The sequence below is a fragment of the Homo sapiens genome, chromosome 3 (genome assembly GCF_000001405.40).
Source record: "Homo sapiens chromosome 3, GRCh38.p14 Primary Assembly".
NCBI lineage: Eukaryota > Metazoa > Chordata > Mammalia > Primates > Hominidae > Homo > Homo sapiens.
This window is the reverse complement of record NC_000003.12, coordinates 21,150,116-21,170,452: the sequence shown is the minus strand read 5'-3', so window position 1 is coordinate 21,170,452 and position 20,337 is coordinate 21,150,116. Positions and strand designations below refer to the sequence as shown.

Here is a 20,337-nt window from a genome sequence, read left to right as displayed (position 1 = left end):
TTAAGAGAATGCTATGATTTAATGGTACCGGGAAGACATGACAAGTTAAAACTTAGAAATGTCCTAAATCTCAGACTGAAATAACTCAAAGAAAGCAGGAAAATTTTATGGCTACAGTTTGTGAAACAAAGATAGTGTGTTAAATTAGGTACGCAAATTCACTGGGGAGAGCTAAGAGCTCATAGAGAGCTCATAGTTACAGAGCTATCTAGAAAGTACCTGAATGTCGAAATAAAACTCCCTATAGAAATCTATTTAAGGTTCTTTTAAATATTTGGAAACGCTTCCTGAAATGGTTCCAAAAGTGTTATTAATATGAAAAAAAATTGTTTTCCTCTTGGCTCCATGCTCACTGTCCATAATTGTGTTTAGCCAAGGGGCTCTCAGGAGGTTCAGTGAGTGGCTTTATTATGTATATTGGGTAATGAGCTTAAGTGTTCTTCACTAGGAGCATTTGCAAGAAAAATTTCTTTCCTTGCTCAAAACTCTTTTCCTGTAGAAAATTTAATGCCTTTGCTCCAGTAGTTATCCAACAATTGAAGATTCAAAGGCAAAAAATAGACTTTCCTCTGGGACCTTTATTTAATTATCAAACACTGAAGATTATAGAGAAAAATGTTCCTTCCTTTTTTTCAGACATTCACTTAAATTCATATCCTTGATTTCTAATTAATGTATTCAAGATCTGAATCTAATTATCTCTATTATGAGTAAAATTCCCTCATTTTATCTCATGTTCTCTAAGACAAGGGCCATCTTAAATCCTGTAAACTCAATCTCTTTTATTAAACCTATCATCTAAATTCAACTGTTATTTTCATTTATTTAAGCCATTCAGGAAGTGTGTATTCAAAATGGGGATACAAAATACATTAGTGCAGAATTAACTCTATATTCTCCATAAAATAATGGCAAATCAGAGATCTAGAATCAGGACAATTGGTTTTTACCAGGAAGTAGACTCTGAGATGGAGTTCAGTGTGCAGGAAGTTTGCTAGGGACTGTTCTTGAGATACAACCTATGGAAGGAAAAAGAATAAGGCAGGATTGGGCAAAATGAGAAACTGACCTGCAACACAGTCCCAGTGGTATTCATGAGATCCTGCAGGAAGTTGTGAAGCTGAGATACACCGTCTAAGTTTTCCAACTTGAGGGTTAGACAGCTGGGCCTTTGGACCTTTGATTAGTCATTGGCTATGGGCTATCCCAGAAAGGTGACATGACTTTGAGTAAGTCGGGTCTCTGTATCTAAGGCAGTACCTGAAAGGGGCTAAAAGCTGAGGCTCCAGTAGCTGGGAGATTAAATCCTTTATTACTGAAGGATAATGTTGGTACTAAATCACAACATGTATCACAGTGTTTTTTTCTGTTTTGTTTTGTTTTGTTTTGTTGTTTGTTTGTTTTTTGAGACAAGGTCTTGCTTTATCACTCAAGCTGGAGTGCAGGAGCACAATTATGGCTGAGTGTAGCCTCAACCTCCCAGGCTCAAGCAATCCACCCACCTCAGCCTCCATAGTAGCTGGGACTACAGGTATGCACCACCACACCCTGCTATATTTTTTTATTTTTTGTAGAGAAGGGGTTTTGCCATGTTGCCCAGGCTTGTCTCAAACTCCTGAGCTCAAGCAATCTGCTTGTCTCAGCCTCCCAAAGTGCTGGGATTACAGATGTGAACCACCATGCCCAGCCACAGGCTTCTTATTATACTTGGGTAGAGTATTCCTGAGAGCTTAAAAGCCACAGAGGTAAGATGCAAATAAGTAGTTGTAATTTGTGTTAAGAGCAGTAATGGAGAGTGGTTGATGTGAAGCAATCATCAGGGAAATGCAGTCATTATCCCTTCCTGGGAAACTCTAGAAATAACTAGAAAATGCACAATACGTATCTGCACTTCTGTTTTTTCACTTGGAAAGTTGAAATGTTAATACATTCTTCACAATCAACGTTACTGGAAACATGATTGAAATCCTTCCTTTGGCCAATTAAACGTTTCTTCAATAATCTCAAGCACTGAGGAAAAAGGAGAGAAAGTTCTTCTCAACCAACAGAATAGGAACTTTCCTCAGAGGCTTCCCAGCAAGGCAGTTGCTATCTCAAGCTGATCTGATTAACAACCTATTGATATTATTTTTCCCTAGCTTCTATGCCACATTTTTCAATGAAAACACTGGCTACACCAACTACTGGAAACTTGCTAGACTCCAAGTCACCAGAGCAATAAGGTTTCTCTTCTCTAAATGGCAGATGACCAAGAGGGCATTTAACCTGCTCATGGGAAGATTAGATTCTACATATTTTAATAGGCCTTTATCTCATCATCCTTTTTATAATTATTCTTCTGTGAAGGAAGCAGAATTGCCCATTACATCCTTACCCTTGTTTAAACTTAGAAATGTTTGACAAACTGGTATGGTGATCTGACCAAATGAAATCCCAGCCCATACATCTTGTGGCATATTAACCTGCCCACTGCTTCTTGATATTCAAATCCAGAGACCATGGAAATTATATTTTATATAAATAAAATAAGGTTAAATAAATGGATGTAAATATACTATAAAAAGTCACTTGCAGAACAAAGCGCGTACAAGAGTGCCAGATAGAATGTAAGTATTGTATCATTAAAATTGTGCTGTGAATGACTTTAAGAATAATAAAAATTCACTTCATAATCTGGATTCTATTAACAATAAATGCCCAGTTACACTATTATACTTTTACTAATCCATTAAGCTGATGTTCTAAAATGACTTATACTGAAATGTTAGTATAGGATATAATAAAATACCATACTGTAGCTATAACATGTTGGATTTTAATTACTATTCTTATAAAATATGAATTAACATGGTGGCAATTCACTTGAAAACTAATTAACTTGCCTCAGTTATCTTGCTCAATTCCTGCAATAAGCAAATAATCTTTACAAAGTTAACATATTAATAAGAATATGATTATGCATTTTCCCCAATTTAATTTCTATTTAATTACATTACTAAACTTGGTTTGTCTCCCAGCAAAGTATCAATTTTGTAGAGTGTGTCTGTAATAGTCACTTGATCGTCAGTCTTAAAAATAACCCAGTGTCTTATTAATTCTGTGTAAATTATTAAATGCATCTGTGCTCAATGTCCAATGCACCAATTTTCTGCCACTCTGCACCATTGCTACTCTAGATCTTTCACAGAGTTCTTACTGAGTGAAATAAACACTATGGGGAATCATAATTAACCCATGCCCTGGTCTCTGCTCCAATAAATAGACTGGTATGGAAAAGGTAAGAGACTGGCAGGAGAAAGAGATGCCAGAGCAAGAGCAGGTACCACAGTCAGCTTACAGGCCATCAATAAAATAAAATAAGATGCTAATTTGTAAAGCTTGACATTGCATATTTTAAAAACATTGCATGTTTAAAAAAACACCGGTGATATGCCGAGTTGCTTTCATTGTTCAATATTCATGCAAAGTAGCTCAAATTTCTCTGCTAATACAGAAAAGAATGCGCTATGTAGTAGAGGAGAGGAAATCTAGTGTACTTCTGTCAACTAAACAGAGACCTGTCACCTGAACCTTAAGGTGACTATTTGGCACAACTTAGGGGCTTATTATTTTTCTGGTAGGATGACACACATTCATGGGAGTGACCAATATTTCTTGTTATATCCATTTCTGAGAGATTTTTCTAAGATCCCAAATTATGATAATCTCTCAGGTCTCTTTAATCCATGTCCTCGCATTTACCTGCATGTTGAAGTGAGGAGGATGGTACAAGAAGGTACAGAAAGAAACTTCTCAGGTGCATTGCTAACCATGTGCCACTTTTGCCCCTTGTCCTGGGACATTTCTAATTCTACCTCGTGAAAATGAATTCCTGACATTTTATGATCTTTAATGTCTGTCCAAAGTAGTCGTGCAGATGTCCCTGATGATTTTAACAATCCTCAGTTTATATCCCTTTCTGTAGACTGACTTACAGAGACAACTGGAAATGCATCTAAGGTACAGAGATAGGTTTCGGTCTGTTTGTTTTTTAAACAGATTTTTTACTCCATTAGCTAAGAAGGAAAGGAAAAGGAAGTGCAGATGTAGGTTTCTGGCCATTCAAAGCCATCTAACCTTGAAGATATTTGAAAGATTATTAGCGGGGTGAAAGGCAGATTTAGTGGGTTTTTTTTTTTTGAAATCTCAGACAGCTTTAAAATTAATATCAGCCTTTTGGGTAAATATTTATTTTATAATTCAATAACAAGGTCTAATTGAACAGGGTCATAATGAGATAAATTTATAGATAGGAAAAAAATTAGAAATCAGAAAATTATCCCCCCCATCCCACAGTAGTAACAAAAATTCACAGTTTAAAATATGGGTAAAACTTAGTAAATATAATAGTCCTCTTTCAAATTCACATAAAGCCTTAGTTTCTACCAACTATCCTTATCAATACACCAGTATTGTCATGAGCCCAACAGAATCCTTCAAAAAGATAGTCATTATAATCTCCAAACCAAAGCTCAATGAGATTAAGTGATTTAAGCAAGTTTACCTGGCTACTAAATTATGCTCCTAAAATTTGGCTTCAGAATTTTGTACTCCAAGCCCAGTTAGTGTTCCTTCCACTCTCCCCCACAGATGGGTCTTGTCAACGGATTTAGATAAATCACAGCAGAGGCTATAAGTCATTTCTCCCTCACAGGTTGCTTCTGCTGGGAGGCTGTCTCATTAAAATCTGTGTCAGTGTCCAAACCTTTAGGCTTAATACTTTTAAGGTATTTGTGTCCATATATATGTGTGTGTGTGTGTGTGTGTGTGTGTGTGTATGTATGAATGTTTTTATGTATGTATACACATATAGATCAACACACATATAAAAACATGTATGTAAAATAAAACATCATGTACACACGCACGTGCACGCGCGCGCGCGCGCGCACACACACACACACACACACACACATTTGATCTTCCACACAGATTTAGGCCCTTTCCAAATCAAAGGGATTATTGTGGTCCCTTGTTCAGAATCTTAATACTGGCAGGCCTAGGTGGCCTGGGATCTGGAAGTCAGGAAGACAATGCTACTGCTGGAAAATTAGGATTAAGGCCTATGGTGACACAGGAGTAAAGCTCATAACGGAAAAGTTTTTGCTTCAGTTTCTTGCCTTCCCACTAAGAAATTCTGGGATTTGGAGACTATGAAATAGGCTAACATAACCATAAGCATCAACAATGATAAGAATATTTGCCACAAACTACATTCTAGGCAATATACAAAAACATTGACATCTCTGTCCTCAAACAATTCTCTAACATTGGTTCTGTAAGGTCTCATTTATATATTAAAAAAGAAAAAAATAACACTGAGACCTAGAGGGTCTAAATAACTTGTCTAAGATAAAAAATCTTCCTCAGTAAGAGTGATAGGACTTGAAAATATGCTATTTGACTTCAGAACCTGTGCTCTGAATCACTAAGTTACACTGCCTTCACAGTAATGGGGGAGGAACATGAAAAATGAAGTTTGAGGCACATGACTCCTAACGACTTATGAGAAAAAATAATTGCTGTAAAAATACGACTATCCAAAGTACATGAAATCAGCTACATAAATTCTAGACTATAGGTCAGGTTTCTATTTTTTTATTCTGCTAAATTTAAGTCATGCATTCAAAGTCATGGGGGATAGGAATGGAGGGATATCACCTCTAAGGGAATGAAATTGGTTCTTGTGGGAGACAAAAGAATCTTACTCTTTTGAATGTATAAAGCTCAGATATACATACAGTACATCAATAGATATCTAGTATATCTGTGGTATTAATATTTCATGAGAAGTTCATTTAGGAAAACAAATGCTTAAAAAGGATTATTACGAGAAACAAAGATTAAGAAGTATTAATCTAGATAAACAATTTTTAAAATTTAAAACTAGGAGCACTTTGGTAGACTTCAATGGAGACTACATTTTAAATGCCATATGAAAATGGTTAGTAAATTAACCCATCTCCAATAATTTTTGTTACATCACTCTTGTGAAAGTGTCCATATTTTCTTCTGATTCTTGTTCTATAAAAGCATGTTGGGGAACCTAAACTTGACTAAATTTGTTGTAGCAAAGCAGGACATGAAGGTTTGGGTAAAATCCTTCCCAGCACTCCCTTAGTGTTCATCGTATGCTTCACCACATTTCTCAGCCTCTTTCCGGGTAGGTAGGACCAGATGACTAGGGCTGAGGCCAATAGGCTCAGAGCAGAGGTAACGAGTCTTACTGCAAAGCATTCAAGAGCTGGTGGCAATGCTCCAGCTTTTCTCTCTCTCTGCCACAGAAGGGCATATGTTCCAGATGGTGCAGTTACAAGTTGGCAGAGCCTCCATCAGCCTGGGTCCCTGTGGCACAATGTGAAGTGGCCCCTGCCCACCTGCATTAGAAATATAGCTTGGGTAAGAAATCCACTATGGTTGTGTTGTCACTGAAATTCTGGAGTTAATTTGTTACAGTCTGATAGTCTAGACTATCCTGAAACATACAATGCTGGTAACTGGTTTTGAGATGTGGAGTTGATATTGAGGTTTTGGATTTATTAATCCCTGCAATGACTTTACAGCCTTTGTAAAATATACTGTTGTGTAAAGTCGTAGCTTTGTGCACCACAACTAACTGTTTCAAAAATTTCCTAATAGAAAACCCACAGGTCTTTCCCAGAAGCAACTTGTTCTCTTCTGTTATTTCTTAAATATTTCACTGCAATGCCTTCAATGGTGGATCTTAATAATAGAATCAATTCACAAGGTGGGGTCCACAGGATTAAAAAGGAAAACATCATAAAGCAAATATTACTGATGCTTAGGGAATTATTTTTTATTTTTATTAAAATATCCTTGCCTCTAGCATTCCTTTTAAGTCTAGCCTCATTTCTTTTAAATCCTGGGACTGTGGGTCAGTGCTTATTTGCATGCTAATTACCAGCTGAAGGCATTTTATGCTGATCCAAGGTCTTTAACCAATTAATGAACCAAGGAATGATGACCTTTCCTTGGAGGAAAATTGCTTACTTTCATCATCATTACTACTGAACTGCATGCCTGTACCCATTGCCTCACACTTCAGGCTCTTTCCTGAATATGTAAGTAGAGAATTAAGTAGCTGTGATTGGATGCCACTGAGTATCTTATTGCATGTATCTATACTTAGGAAACATGCCAAGCACTGGAGATATGTAACTGACACTAAATGGGCAAAAACAAAGTCTAAAAATGGTCTTCTTGCCATGTCAGAATCTTCTCAGAAGTGATTATACTCTGCCAAAGCTTTTAGATTTGAGATCATCTATATAACCCTTTAATCACACAATTATAGATGATATATTTAGAGACAGTGCAGAAAAATAAGATGGCTATTTCAGTGAAAGAAAAAGAAGTTAGATGGTGTCAAATACTAAATGGATATATAATCAAGATTGAAATCTGGGATGTGTCTAAGGATGCTTAGGCAGAGGACCTAAATATTTGTTTTCCATGCTTTATTATAGTGTTTCACTTAATCACGAGAGTTTTTCAAAATCTGTAGCATTGAAACAGCTGTTTCAAAGAATTGTAATATACATAGATACACACAAACTCCTTGGAGCATGGCAGTTCCTAATTTCAATGGCCAAAGTAGCATATCTATTCTGCTCTTTTTCCTAAGAAGTTAATCTTTGTGACTAGGGATAGAGATCTGGTTCTTAACCTAAAGGGTTATTAGGAAATATATCAATATAAACATCAGCAATGTATTGTTTCTCCGAACCATCCATTTCTTGATAATCTTCACTGAGTCCTCCTAAATTTACCAGCGCTGACAATGGGCTACAACAACACTCTGATACAATTCCTTTACCCAGGTATTGCATTGTTTCACTATATTCTCTGGTTCCTGAATGTAAAGAGTTGCAAAATTACTAGTACGTGTGCAGAGAAACACAGTTTTGTTTGCTTGTTTGTTTTGTAAGTAACTGATCTGATATACTTTAGAACATTGTCTGCCTTTGGGGGAAGGGCATTAAAATTTTTCTATTAATTTAGGTCAGTAACCTCAGACCAATCTAATATTTTAGACTCTGAATAACTCAGTCTCTGCTTGGGTAATCCAACAGATGTGTATTTCAGATTTAAGTCAACCCCCTAACAAAGCTCCTCTCTTTGACCTCCTACCTAGGAACTGAGAGAGGGTGAAGAATGCCTCACCAGCCTCTGCTGAGCTGCCATGTTGCAAAGATTTCTGTTTATTTTGTTCCCTGCTTTTATCTCTGTCATCTAGAACATCAATTATCACAGAGTAGTCACTCAGCAAATATTTGTTGCATGAATGAATTAATGAATTAATACACAGGATTCTCCTTCAAAAACTCCAACCAGTAGAGGCACAATTGTGGTTCCTTTCACTGTATCACAATCTATCCAAGTCCTGGATATTAGCAGGGATACAGGAAAATAATTTTAGGTCTCTCTTCTTTTGCCTCTTTTTATCTGCCTTCTCTCTAATGCCATGAGAGGAGCCTTTCTCAAACTTCCTCTTCCTGCCTGATCACCTTACATAAAACTTTTTGCTACTCTACCTACCAAGTATAGCCCTCCATCAGCTAAAGAGGGGATAATGGAATTTACAAAATTCCATCTTTTCCCACATCTTGTTTTATAATCCAGTGTCATGCTGAACAAGTCTGTATCAGATCAGGCTATCTTCTATTTTAGAAAATAAGCCTGAAGACTCAGTTTCAGGGGAGGAAAGCTGATTATATTAGGAACTGTAGAAGCATTTAAAACGAACAATAAAATAAAGGTCAGGGCCATTTTGAAAGAGAAGTTCACAGTTCATTAGAAACTGACTTAGAGAAAAAAGTGAATGGTGTAAATTTGGCGAGGGATGTCTTCCCACTAGTCACTTCATGCAGTCTGAGTTATCTCCCTTGAGTACGTGCCCAAAGTGGCAAAGTCAATGACTGATTCAATGAAAAGAGAGGAGAATGGTGTACAGGTGATGGGAATTGTGAAAGTAGGATACCCAATGGAGTCCACTAGTTAGAATCTTCTCTTGGCTTGCCTTGTATGGTGTTCCCATTGTATCAAGGGTTATTTTAGTTATTAGCATTACACATCTCCATGTTTTCATCATATCCTCTCTCCTGAAAAAATACCCTAATACACTTTCTGAAGGAAAATAGGAGGTAAAGAATGGTGTGCCAGTTGTTTTGCTTTTAGCTTGCTTGCCTATGACACAAGATGTAGAGTTAATTAGATAATCTATGCTCCAATATGAGCTATGATAAAGGAAGCCATTCAGATTGGTGCTGTAGGTTTCACCCTTGGCTGCTCGTAAGTATCTTCCAGAGAGTTTCTAGAATATACTATTCCTTGTGTCACACCCCTAGAGATTCTGATTTAATTTTTCTGGGTTGCGGCCTACACATTATTTTTTTCTAAAACTCCCCGGGGCTTATAATCAGAAGCTTTGGAGGCAGGATTTGGAACTGCTATTGTAGTGAAATAAACATTTGATTTAGGGCAGTTCTGTCACCAATTGTCTGATCCTAGGCAAGCCACATCACTTTCTGTACCTCAGATTCCTCATCTGAAAAGTGAAATATAATAATGCTAACTCACAAAGTTATTTCAAAAAACACATTTGATGGTGCACAAACATATGTTTGGAAGCTCCTAAGTTCTTTAGAAATGTTAGCTATTCTACACTTAAATCTTAAATGGTAACTTAGACTACCTTAAATGATTTAAATTAGAAAAACATGATGATAATGATGATGATGATGATAATAATAATAAGAAGAAGAAACTACTGCCAACCTCAGGAGTTCTTAGTAAATCTTATATAAAATATACTTTTTTTGTGATCTCAGAGCACTGCATTGATGGAGTTGTTCTGTTTCATACTCTATAAACAGCTCTCCTGAGATCATAGCTAATATAAATGAACTTTATTTACAATTTATTTTTACCTGGGTAACTCTTAATTTTGTGTCTTTCTCATTACATTTATTTCCTGGGTTCAGAATGAAGTTTTAAAACGCTATGGGTTCTCAGAGAAGAGCTTGCAGATGGAATGCAAAATCTGTTTGTTATACCCATTGCTTATTTATGAAGCTAAAGGGCAGCAAGGAGCCATTTGGGTATGCTGTTGTTTGCAACGATAAACTGTTGGAACATGAAGAGGGAGAGAAACTGCCTTAAAGTAGGTTGTGGGGAGAGGCGAGAGGATAGGTTAGATTTGTTGCACAGCCTTCCAGTACAATTTCTTAAGTAGATTGCTGAATGTAAGGAGACCACATGACTGGCAGAAAAGGAGAAAAGCAGAAATAGCTAAGCAAATGAAGAGTGCTTTTCAATTTTACTGAGAACAGGTAATTGGATTCTGCAGTGAGGGCTTGATATACAGGAAATCTTTTAGACATCAGCCTAGAAACACCTATAGGCCATGGCATGATTTTTTACTTATTCTATCTGAGTAGCTTCGCCTCCCGGTCAATGAGCTCTGAATCAACTTAAATTCTTACCCAAGGTCATGAAACTGAAGTTGAGTCCTGGGTAAATCCCACACATACCATAACAGACAGAACCCATAAAATTCCTGGGCAGATTTCTGCCACAGAAACAAAATGGAAGACTTCCAGTGGTTGAGCTAATTATGCTGTGCTTACCTCTCCATGTTGTTGAAAGACATTATCAACACATTCATCCGTTTCAATGAAGCTTTGCCCTGGAGAGTTGTGTGACACTTAAACTCTGACTCAAATCAAGAATCGAGGACCACATATCATACTTTGGTGACCTCATGTTAAGACATCAATTGTTACCAGGATAATATTAGCATGTTTAGATCTTGACACTGCAGGCTTTTCAGTGAACTTGCCCCCCTATTCTGAGGGAATGTCAAGCTAATTTTAGGGCCAGTAAAATATATTTATGTATGAACAATCATAGAAGGAAATGGGCACGTGATGTTGAAACTATGTATGCAATAAATAGCCTCTTTGACTGAATCATCCCAGGAAATAGAGTGTTATTTCTATTCCAAGCCTTTGCTGATCTGCATTTGCTTTAAGCTTCATATTTCAACATTGCTGACATCTAGAAATGCAGTGCATAAGCTGTAGCTCTTACATCTGCCTCATCTCACTTTCCCTCTTCGCCTCAATTTTAAGGCATGTCATACATTTGACTCCACATGTTTCACAGGTTCTTTTGATTATCTTAAGGTTAGACGACCATACTTAGTGTGAGAGAAGGCATTTCAGAAACCTCAATAAATAGGTTTTCAAAAGGAATGCCAATGTTAGAAAATGATGAAGCAAAGATATTACTTCCTGCCAAACATCATGGAGTTTAAATCCTTCTGAAAAGATGATGAAGAGCAGGTCCTTCTGTCTCTCTCTGGATTGCCTTAGTGCCAGCCAGATGCTCAGCGGAGCCAGGCTGTTAGCACATGCCTTGCCAGGGAGTTTTAGAAACATGAGAAACAGCACACAAAGACCTTGTTCCAAAATGATGTTATATGGGAGGAAAAAAATTAGCAAAAACCTCCTGATGTTCAAATAGCATGTATTTTATACACAGCCCAAATTAATAAAATGATGGATTCAAAAAAACATTTTACCTTCTATTTGGGACAACACCAGATTGTATTCTTTATTTTATACCCTCAAGTGTTCCAGAACTTTTTTCAAAGCAATTGGTCAAACAGACCTAGGATGCCACCCTTTCACTTATTGGCTGACATGAAAATGGAGACCGTTTAGATGACTAAATCCATTTACAGTGTCAGACGCAGGAAAGGCTAAAACCAGATGATTATCTTCAATGATCTTTCCATATCTGTGACAACTTGGATTTTAGTCCCAGCTCCGCCACTAATTAAACTAATGGCCTTGGTCAAGTTTGCTCTACTTCATAGGGATTATGCAGGTTTATTAGTTTTCTTTCTTCCATACTCTCTACTCTATAACATTTTATGATTTCCTTCCTTCCTTCCTTCCTTTCCTTCCTTCCTTCCTTCTTTCTTCCCTTCCTTCCTCTCTCCCTCTCTTTTTTTCTTTCTCTTTCCTTCTTTTTTCTTTTCTCCTTCCTTCCTTCCTCCCTTCCTTCCTTTTCTTCCTTTTCTCTCTTCTTTCCTTTCTTTCTCCCCCTATCTGATTTTTTAGTTCTTTCTTTCAATCCCTTCCTTCAGGTTTACTTTCTGCCAGAAACATTTGAGGCAGATCCCTACCCTAACTCAGGCTTTTCATTCACTATATTGGTGGTTCTTAGAGCGTACTCCAGCAACCTCAGCATCAGGCTGCTGCAATGCAGATTCTCAGGCTCTACTAAGATCTGCTGAATCAGAAACTCTTAAAGTGGGACTCAGCAATCTCCATTCTATCAGGACCTCCCACGTGCTTTTGATACCCTCTAATATTTGAGAACTATTGCTTTAGGGCTCTTTCCTCCTTCTGTTTAACAGCCTTCATCTACTAAAGCTATTTGAGTCCAGGTGTAAATTTCTCAGAATTACTTATAAACTTGAAGAGGGTCAAGAGTAGAATCTACAGCCAGGAAAACTTGGAGTAGAACATTGGTTATGCCACTGTGTTCAGTCCAATCTGTGTTACTTGATTCAAGTGATTATTCTCCCTCTCTCAATCTTTAAAGTGGTGATAATAATAATGCCTAATTTATAAACCTGTGTGAGAATTATGTGTGATGCTATTTGTATCTTTAAAATGATACACGAGAACTATTACTCTTGGGTTACACATATATTTTGGTAGGATTATTTAATGTTTTACCTAGAAAATAAAAAGAAGAGCAATGTGAAAATTTGGGATCTACTGAGTCTGGTAGGCAGAATAAAGACCTCTTAAATATATTCATGCCTTAGTAATCCATAACCCATGAGTATGTTATCTCACTTGGCAAAAGGGAATTTGCAAATGCAATTAATAATACAAGTCTTGAGATAAAGATATTATCTCAGGTTATCTGGGTGAGCCAATTTTAGCACACAAGTTCTTAACAGTGGAGAACTCTTCCCACCTGTGTTCAGAGAGGGAGCGATGTGATAATAGAAGAAGGATCACAGAGATTCTACATTACTGACATTGAAGATGGAGGAAGGAGGTTAGTATCCAAGGAATGTGGGGACTATTTAATTTAGCAACTGGAAAAGGCAAGAAAATGAAGTCTTTTTTACCGGCTCCAGAAAGGAAAGTATACCTTGATTTTAGCAGAGCAGCACCTATGTCAGACTTCTGCAGAATTACAGCAAAATAGGTTTACGTTGTTTAAGTTACTATGTTGCTGATAATTTGTCAAGGCAGCAATAGAAAACCAATATATTGGATCACTGGAATTATATTTGTTCAAGTTTTCTTTGATTTACCCTATCAAATAACTACCTAAATTGCCTCTAATGTGTGATTGACTAATCTTGTCCCAAGATCTTCCTCCTGGTTAACAATTTTGACTCCCTTCTATACCAAAATGCCTCCAAGGCTACTTTGAGCTTTATCTCCTCGTCTACTCTATGAAAAGGAACTAATGAGCTTTACATTAATGACAGGAAAAGCAAAGGACTTGGATTATCCATAAAAGAGATAAGCAGCCACTGAATAATTAACTACAATCTAACTGTGGTTAAAGCTTCTTATCTAAACCAAAGATATAGTATATTCTAATATACTTAAGGCTGTATAGCAATATGCTGTCCCTCAAAATTCTTCAAAGTCTTCCTGAAAGATACTCACAATACATGATATTATAACTTCTACATAATTTGTAGAATGTAAAGTATTACTACTACTAATGATGAGTATCATCGTCATAATCACATTTATCATAAAGCAGCTATTTAATAGTTCTAGTGACTAGGGAACAAAAGAGAAAATCAATGATACATTTAGGCAAATAACCTGTCTTTTAAAAACTATTCTTTAAAAAAAATGAGAATAAAACAAGCTAAGGTTAAGTATTATTCTGCTGCTTATTAGTTTTCTGTGATGCTAAGTCAAAAAATAAAACCAATGTTTTGTTACAATCTTTACAGGCTTTTTCGTATGTGCACCAACTTTGTATTATTTTGCTTCACTTCATTGCACTTCTCAGATACTGTGTTTTTTACTAACTGAAAATTTGTGGCAACACTACTGGTGCCATTTTTTCAATAGCATATGCTCACTTCTTGTCTCTGTGTCATATTTTGGTAATTCTAGCAATATTTCAAACTTTTAATATTATGATTACATCTTTCATGGTGATCTGTGATTGGAGATTGTTGATGTTACTATTTCGGGGTGCCACAAACCACTTCCATATAGGATGGAGATCTTAATAAGCATTGGGTACATTCTCACTCCTCTTCTTACTGGCCCTTCTCTGTCTCTCTTCCTTTCCTAGGACCTCCCTATTTCCTGAGACACAACATTGAAATTAGGCCAATTAATAAGCTTACGATGGACTCTAAATGTTCAACTGGAAGGAATAATCACGTATCTTTCGCTTTACATCAAAAGCTAGAAAAGATTAAGCTGAGGGAGGCATGTTGAAGACTGAGACAGGCAGAAAGCTAAGCCTCTTTTGCCAAAGTTAGCCAAGCTGTGAAAGCAAAATAAAAGTTTTAGAAGGAAATTAAAAGTGCTACTTCAGTGAGCACACAAATGACAAGAGAGCAAAACAGTCTTATTGGTGATCTGGAGAAAGTTTTAGTGGTCTGGACAGAAGATCAAATCAACCACAACATTCCCTTAAGACAAAGCCTAATCCAGAGCAAGGACCTAACGCTCTTCAATTCTCTGAAGGTTTAGAGAGGTGAGGAAGCTGCAAAAAAAAAAGTTGAAAGCTAGCAGAAATTGGTTCTTGAGATTCAAGAAAATAAGCTTTCCCTGTAACATAAAAGTTCAAGGTAAAGTAGCAAATGCCCATGTAGAAGCCACAAGTTATCCAGAAGATCTAGCAAAGATAATTGATGAAGGTGACTACACCAAACAAAAGATTTTCAGTGTAGATGAAACAGCTATTTATTGGAAGTAAATGTCATCTGGGACTTTCATAGCTAGGGAGGAGATGTCAATGCTTGGCTTTGAAGCTTCAAAATACAATCTAATTCTCCTGTTATGGGGGAATGCAGCTGGTGACTTTAAGTTGAAGCTAATGCTCACTTACCATTCTGAAAATCCTGGGGCCTTAAAGAATTATGCCAAATCTTCTCTGCAGTGCTCTATAAATAGCTAAGCAAACCCTGGATGACAGCATATCTGTCTACAGCATGGCTTACTGAACACTTTAAGCTTACTGTTGAGACCCACTGCTCAGAACAATGATTCCTTTCAAAACACTACTGCTTACTGGCAATGCATGATATCTCAGGAGCTCTAATGGAAATGAATGAAGCTCTGATGAACATGAAGCTCTGATGAACATGAAGATAAGTATTGTTTTCATGCCTACTAATACATACCCATTCTGTAGCCCATGGGTCAAGAAGTAATCTTTTGTAATACAAAGAATCAATTGATATGGCAAACTTCATTGTTAGCTTATTTTAAGAAATTACTACCTCAAAAACCTTCAACAACCAACACCCTGATCAGCCAGCAGTCATCTACATTGAGGCAAGAGCTTCCACTAGCAAAAAGATTATGCTTCACTGAAGGCCCGTATGATTGCTAGCATTTTTAAACAATCGGATATTTTTACATTAGGTTATGTGCATTTTTAAAGATATAATGCTATTTGACACTTAACAGACTACAATATAGTGTAAACATAACTTTTATATGCCCTGGGAAACCAAAAAAATGTGATTCACTTTATTGCAATATTTGCTTTATTATGGTGTTCTGGAACTGAACCCACAATATCTTTGAGGCATGTCTGTAATTATCTATAAAAAACTTCCAAACAAAACAGTGATTAATATATATAAAAGTTTAAACAAATTATTAGTGTATACTCTAATATTAGGATTTTATGTACTAAGTGTGGGATCTTGCTGTGAAATTCAGCATGTGTAAAATTTCAACTTCAAAAAAATTACATTTTCTTTTATTGACAAGCTCTAATGACTTAATGACTAATTTAAGCAAAGACAAACAAAATTACAAAAAAATCACAACCAAAAGAGATTCTTCTAAATGCTTCTCCTAATTAATATAAAATTAATAGTAATAATAATAGAACACTAATAATCATTTTTCCTGTTTTAGAATCTACATTATTTTGCTTTGGTTATATTTTAGTGTATACTTTTTAGATTCCTTTTTGGCATGGTTTACTCCTGTATGTTTTATGGTCTCTAAGCCATCTGCAGCAACTAAGTAATGGGTAAAAGATGTAAACAGCTGATACCGCTTTTCATTTTTATATTGTATTCAAACTTGTACAATACGTTTGGAGCACACATATTTCAAAGCACACAGATGATAATTTTATGCAATGGCAAATCAATTGATCAATAATATTGACATTGTAATACCTTCATTTACAGGAAGCCACACTGGTCACTCACATTCACTGTATTTAATTCCTCCAGCCCTAAAGCCCCAAATTTTCTGTCTATTAATCTGGGTTACTTTGAGTCTATGTCAAATGTGAACTGGAAAAAAAGTAATAATCTAAATATTCAACCAAACACTCATTGTTTTTCAACCAATATTTAAACTTTAGAATTAAGAATTTGAAATTTTCGAATTATATTTAATAGATAATGAGCTTTATAGTATTCTTTGTGTCTAAATCCAGGCTTTGCATGAAAGAGTCCATGGTGAAGAAAACAGAGATTTCTTGGGTAACATATAATTGATTTCAGGATATTTATTTTTGGAGAATGTTTTCAAAATGATGTACTTAGTAACAAATTAAATATTGTCCACATTTAATTTTGAAAGCACCTTGAAGTTTTCGCAAAACCTATATCCTCTTAATCTTCTAATTAACCAACACATAGAGTGTGATTATTGACATCTAAAATACGGCAGTCAAACATCTAATAATAACATCCCATCCAGTTTGTAATGTATAAGAAGGAGCTTTCCAGCTATAAATAAATATAGAAAAAAACCAAAACAACTAGCTTGAAGCAAAAGTACCAAATGAAACTCCACACAATGATTTCAGGTTTATTTATTCACATCTGTTGCTATTACTGTAAAATGGTTTAAATAGCCATAAAAAAATACAGTGTCCTCTAAGAATGTCCATGCTGGAGCAGCCTGTTTCTCCTTACTAGCACCCATACATGCTGCACCCTCAACCTTGCAGAAAAGCTTTGGCTTTAAATACACATGAATTATTGCTAGTTAGATATCTAACTAACTGAATAATGTGGTTAGCATTGATAAGCCATAACCCAAGAGGTTTATCTTAATATTTTTTTAAAAAAATGATTATTTCTGTGTATGCATGATACATTATCTCTTGTTAATCCTTACCCTATCCTGTTTGTATTTCTTCTACTTTACAGACTATCTCAATAATTTAGAAGTGACTCTGGTTCCACATCACCTGATGAATTATGCCTTAATAAAAACATCCTCAATTTATTAATCAAAGATGACAAATTGAGTTATTTTTTCCTTAATGTTCATTGCCGAGTGTATGTATGTACAGTTATGGTGAAAGGTCAAGTACTCATTGGTAAGAATATAATGAATGACATAGAATGGACCATGAAGTGCACATCTTCTGGATTTCACACGGAAGTGAAAGTTGCTTGATATTAATCAGCAGTTCAAATGCACCAGTTACCTCACTGAAGTATGAAATTGCTAGCCTCGAACTCATTTATACATTCAACGAGTATACATTGAATATCTACCATGGCACCTCTACATTTTGTTAGGTATGGAGATGCGGCAGTGAACAAAGCAGACAAATTCCTTTTTTTTTTTTTTTTTTTTCGGAATAAAGCTGCCAGGGAACATGTATTCAGCTGAGAGCAGGAACATTAAACAAAATGGCTAACTAGAGTAAACAGCCTCTTAAAGGGTGATAAACAATATATAAGTGATACACAGTAAGTATAAAGCAGGATAAAGGAAGATGAAGTGTGAGGAATAAAGGCTAAAATTTAATATTCTACCATATGGAAGCACAAAAATAAAAACTCATCCATTAACTTGCAGGGGATATTAAAAGAAAACAAATATCCCTACCCTGGTGGAGTTTACATTCTAATGTACTGAAGCAGAAAATAAAATTGATATAATCAACTAGTAAATTATATAGCATGTGAGATGACAAGTGTTATAAAAGAGAGAGCCAGAGACAGAGAGATAGAGGTAGACAAAGGGAGGAAAGTGGGATTAGGAATGTGCGTTGGGTGAAAGGATAGAGTCAGTTTGCAATTAAAAAAATGGTGGTCAAGGCAGACTTCACTGAAAATGTGAAAGTAAGGAAAAAATTGAGGAAGTTGAGAAATAGCCATGTAGATATTAGAGAAAGAGCATTCCAGGAAGGGGGAATAGCTAGAACATACAATCCAAAGATGGAGTTTGTAGATTTGTTCAAAAACACCAATGAGACTTGTGTGATTGGAGGATGGTGACAGTTGGGAGAAATTGCAGGAGCTGAAGTCTCAGGTAATGGAGGGGCTGGGGCATGGACAGCTTGGTGGGCTGTTGTTTACTCTCGGAGAGAATGTGAAAGCTATTGATGAGTCCTAGCAGAGAAATTACATAATCTGACATATTTTAAAGAGTGTTTTTTTGGATGTTATGTTCAGAATAGATGGTAGAGAATCACAGATAGAAGGAGGGAGTGTTCAAGGGGCTATTTCAGTACTCCAGACAGAAAATGATGGTGGCTCAGAAAAGGATGGTAGACATGGAGGTGGGAGGAAGTGGTTAGATTTTTTGACTACCAGGCCAATATGTCAAGAGATGAGTAAGATAATGATAGATAAAGTAAAGAAGACCAAAGAAAATAAAATTCAGTACAGAATACTATTTGGCTTTAGCCATTTGTTTTATTTGTATAGGCAAAATGATTACATTTTCTAAATGTTAGGAGACCTCAAATGCATTATTCCCTTGTCCTGAAATTCCTTCTAAAAAGTAGTTAAACAGTTTATTTCTGAAATGAATGATTATTCATAAATTCTTATTTCAGTTGCAGACCTTGCTTACTTTTATATGTCTTTTAGGAGAACTCAAAAAATGTTCAAGAGCATATCTTTTTCTTTTTGATGAATGTTACTGATTATGACTATTGAACTACTGCAAAATGTTGCAGTTTGTGCTTGATTTTCCAGGCAGTTATATTCAAGTTTTAGTTGCAAAAACAAATAAATATATGATGAAGACATAAACCAAGCTGGAATATGCAATCATATACTACTATTAAATAGTATATTCTAGTATATAAGATTAATAAGGCAACATAAACATGATTGTGAGCAGACCACAGAAATATTGTTGTAATATCAGTACATGAAGTCCTTTTGAATAAAGAAAACCTTTGCCATTTATTTATTCTCTAAGATGCTCTATCCAATATAAGAATCATTAGCTAGTGGCTATTGGACACGTGAAATAAAGGTAGTCTGAACTGAATGCATTGCAAGTTTAAAATATACACCAGATATTATGTACTTATTACAAGAAAAGAATGTAAAATCTATCACTAGTATTTATATATGTATTACATGTTAAAATTGTATTGTGAATATGTTCTTTTACATAAAATTTATTATTAAATTAAACTTTCTTTTTTATACTTTAAGTTCTGGAATATATGTGCAGGACATGCAGGTTTGTTACATAGGCATACATGTCCCATGGTGGTTTGCTGCACCCATCAACCCGTCATCAACATTAGGTATTTCTCCTAACGCTAATAGGTATCCCTCCTAATGCAAGGAAGGGAATATCACACACCAGGGCCTGTGGAAGGGTGGGGGACTAGGGGAGGGATAGCATTAGGAGAAATACCTAATGTAGATGACGGGTTGATGGGTGCAGCAAACCACCATGGCACGTGTATACCAATGTAACAAACCTGCACGTTCTGCACATGTATCCCAGAACTTAAAGTAAAATCAAAATAATAATAATATAAAAAAGAAACACAGGAGGTAGGTAGAAACCAACTAGTTGTGGTGATCCTGCTGTCTTTTCATTGGTTATTTCTCTTTTTCTAGAAAATTCTCATTTTATGAGAACACAATATAAAAGCACCAAAAATGACATTTAACATTCATTGAGCATTCAAAATATACCAAACCCACACTTGAAATCAATGCTTCCCATGATAATTCTATTTAATAGTAATAATAAATGGAAAACATCTCAGGTTACAGAAGAAAGCATACCATCAGGG

At 35.9% G+C, this 20,337-nt stretch overlaps 1 long non-coding RNA gene across 1 annotated transcript in view; it reads right to left on the bottom strand.

Moving 5' to 3' along the window:
* The window catches only part of LOC105376988 (uncharacterized), a 52,487-nt gene extending 51,112 nt beyond the window's left edge, over positions 1–1,375 (bottom strand). Inside the window, exon 1 of the long non-coding RNA XR_940646.3 lies at positions 951–1,375. This is a non-coding gene — a long non-coding RNA (uncharacterized LOC105376988). The remainder of the gene's footprint in view (positions 1–950) is intronic.
* Between the last annotated feature and the right edge of the window lie 18,962 nt (positions 1,376–20,337).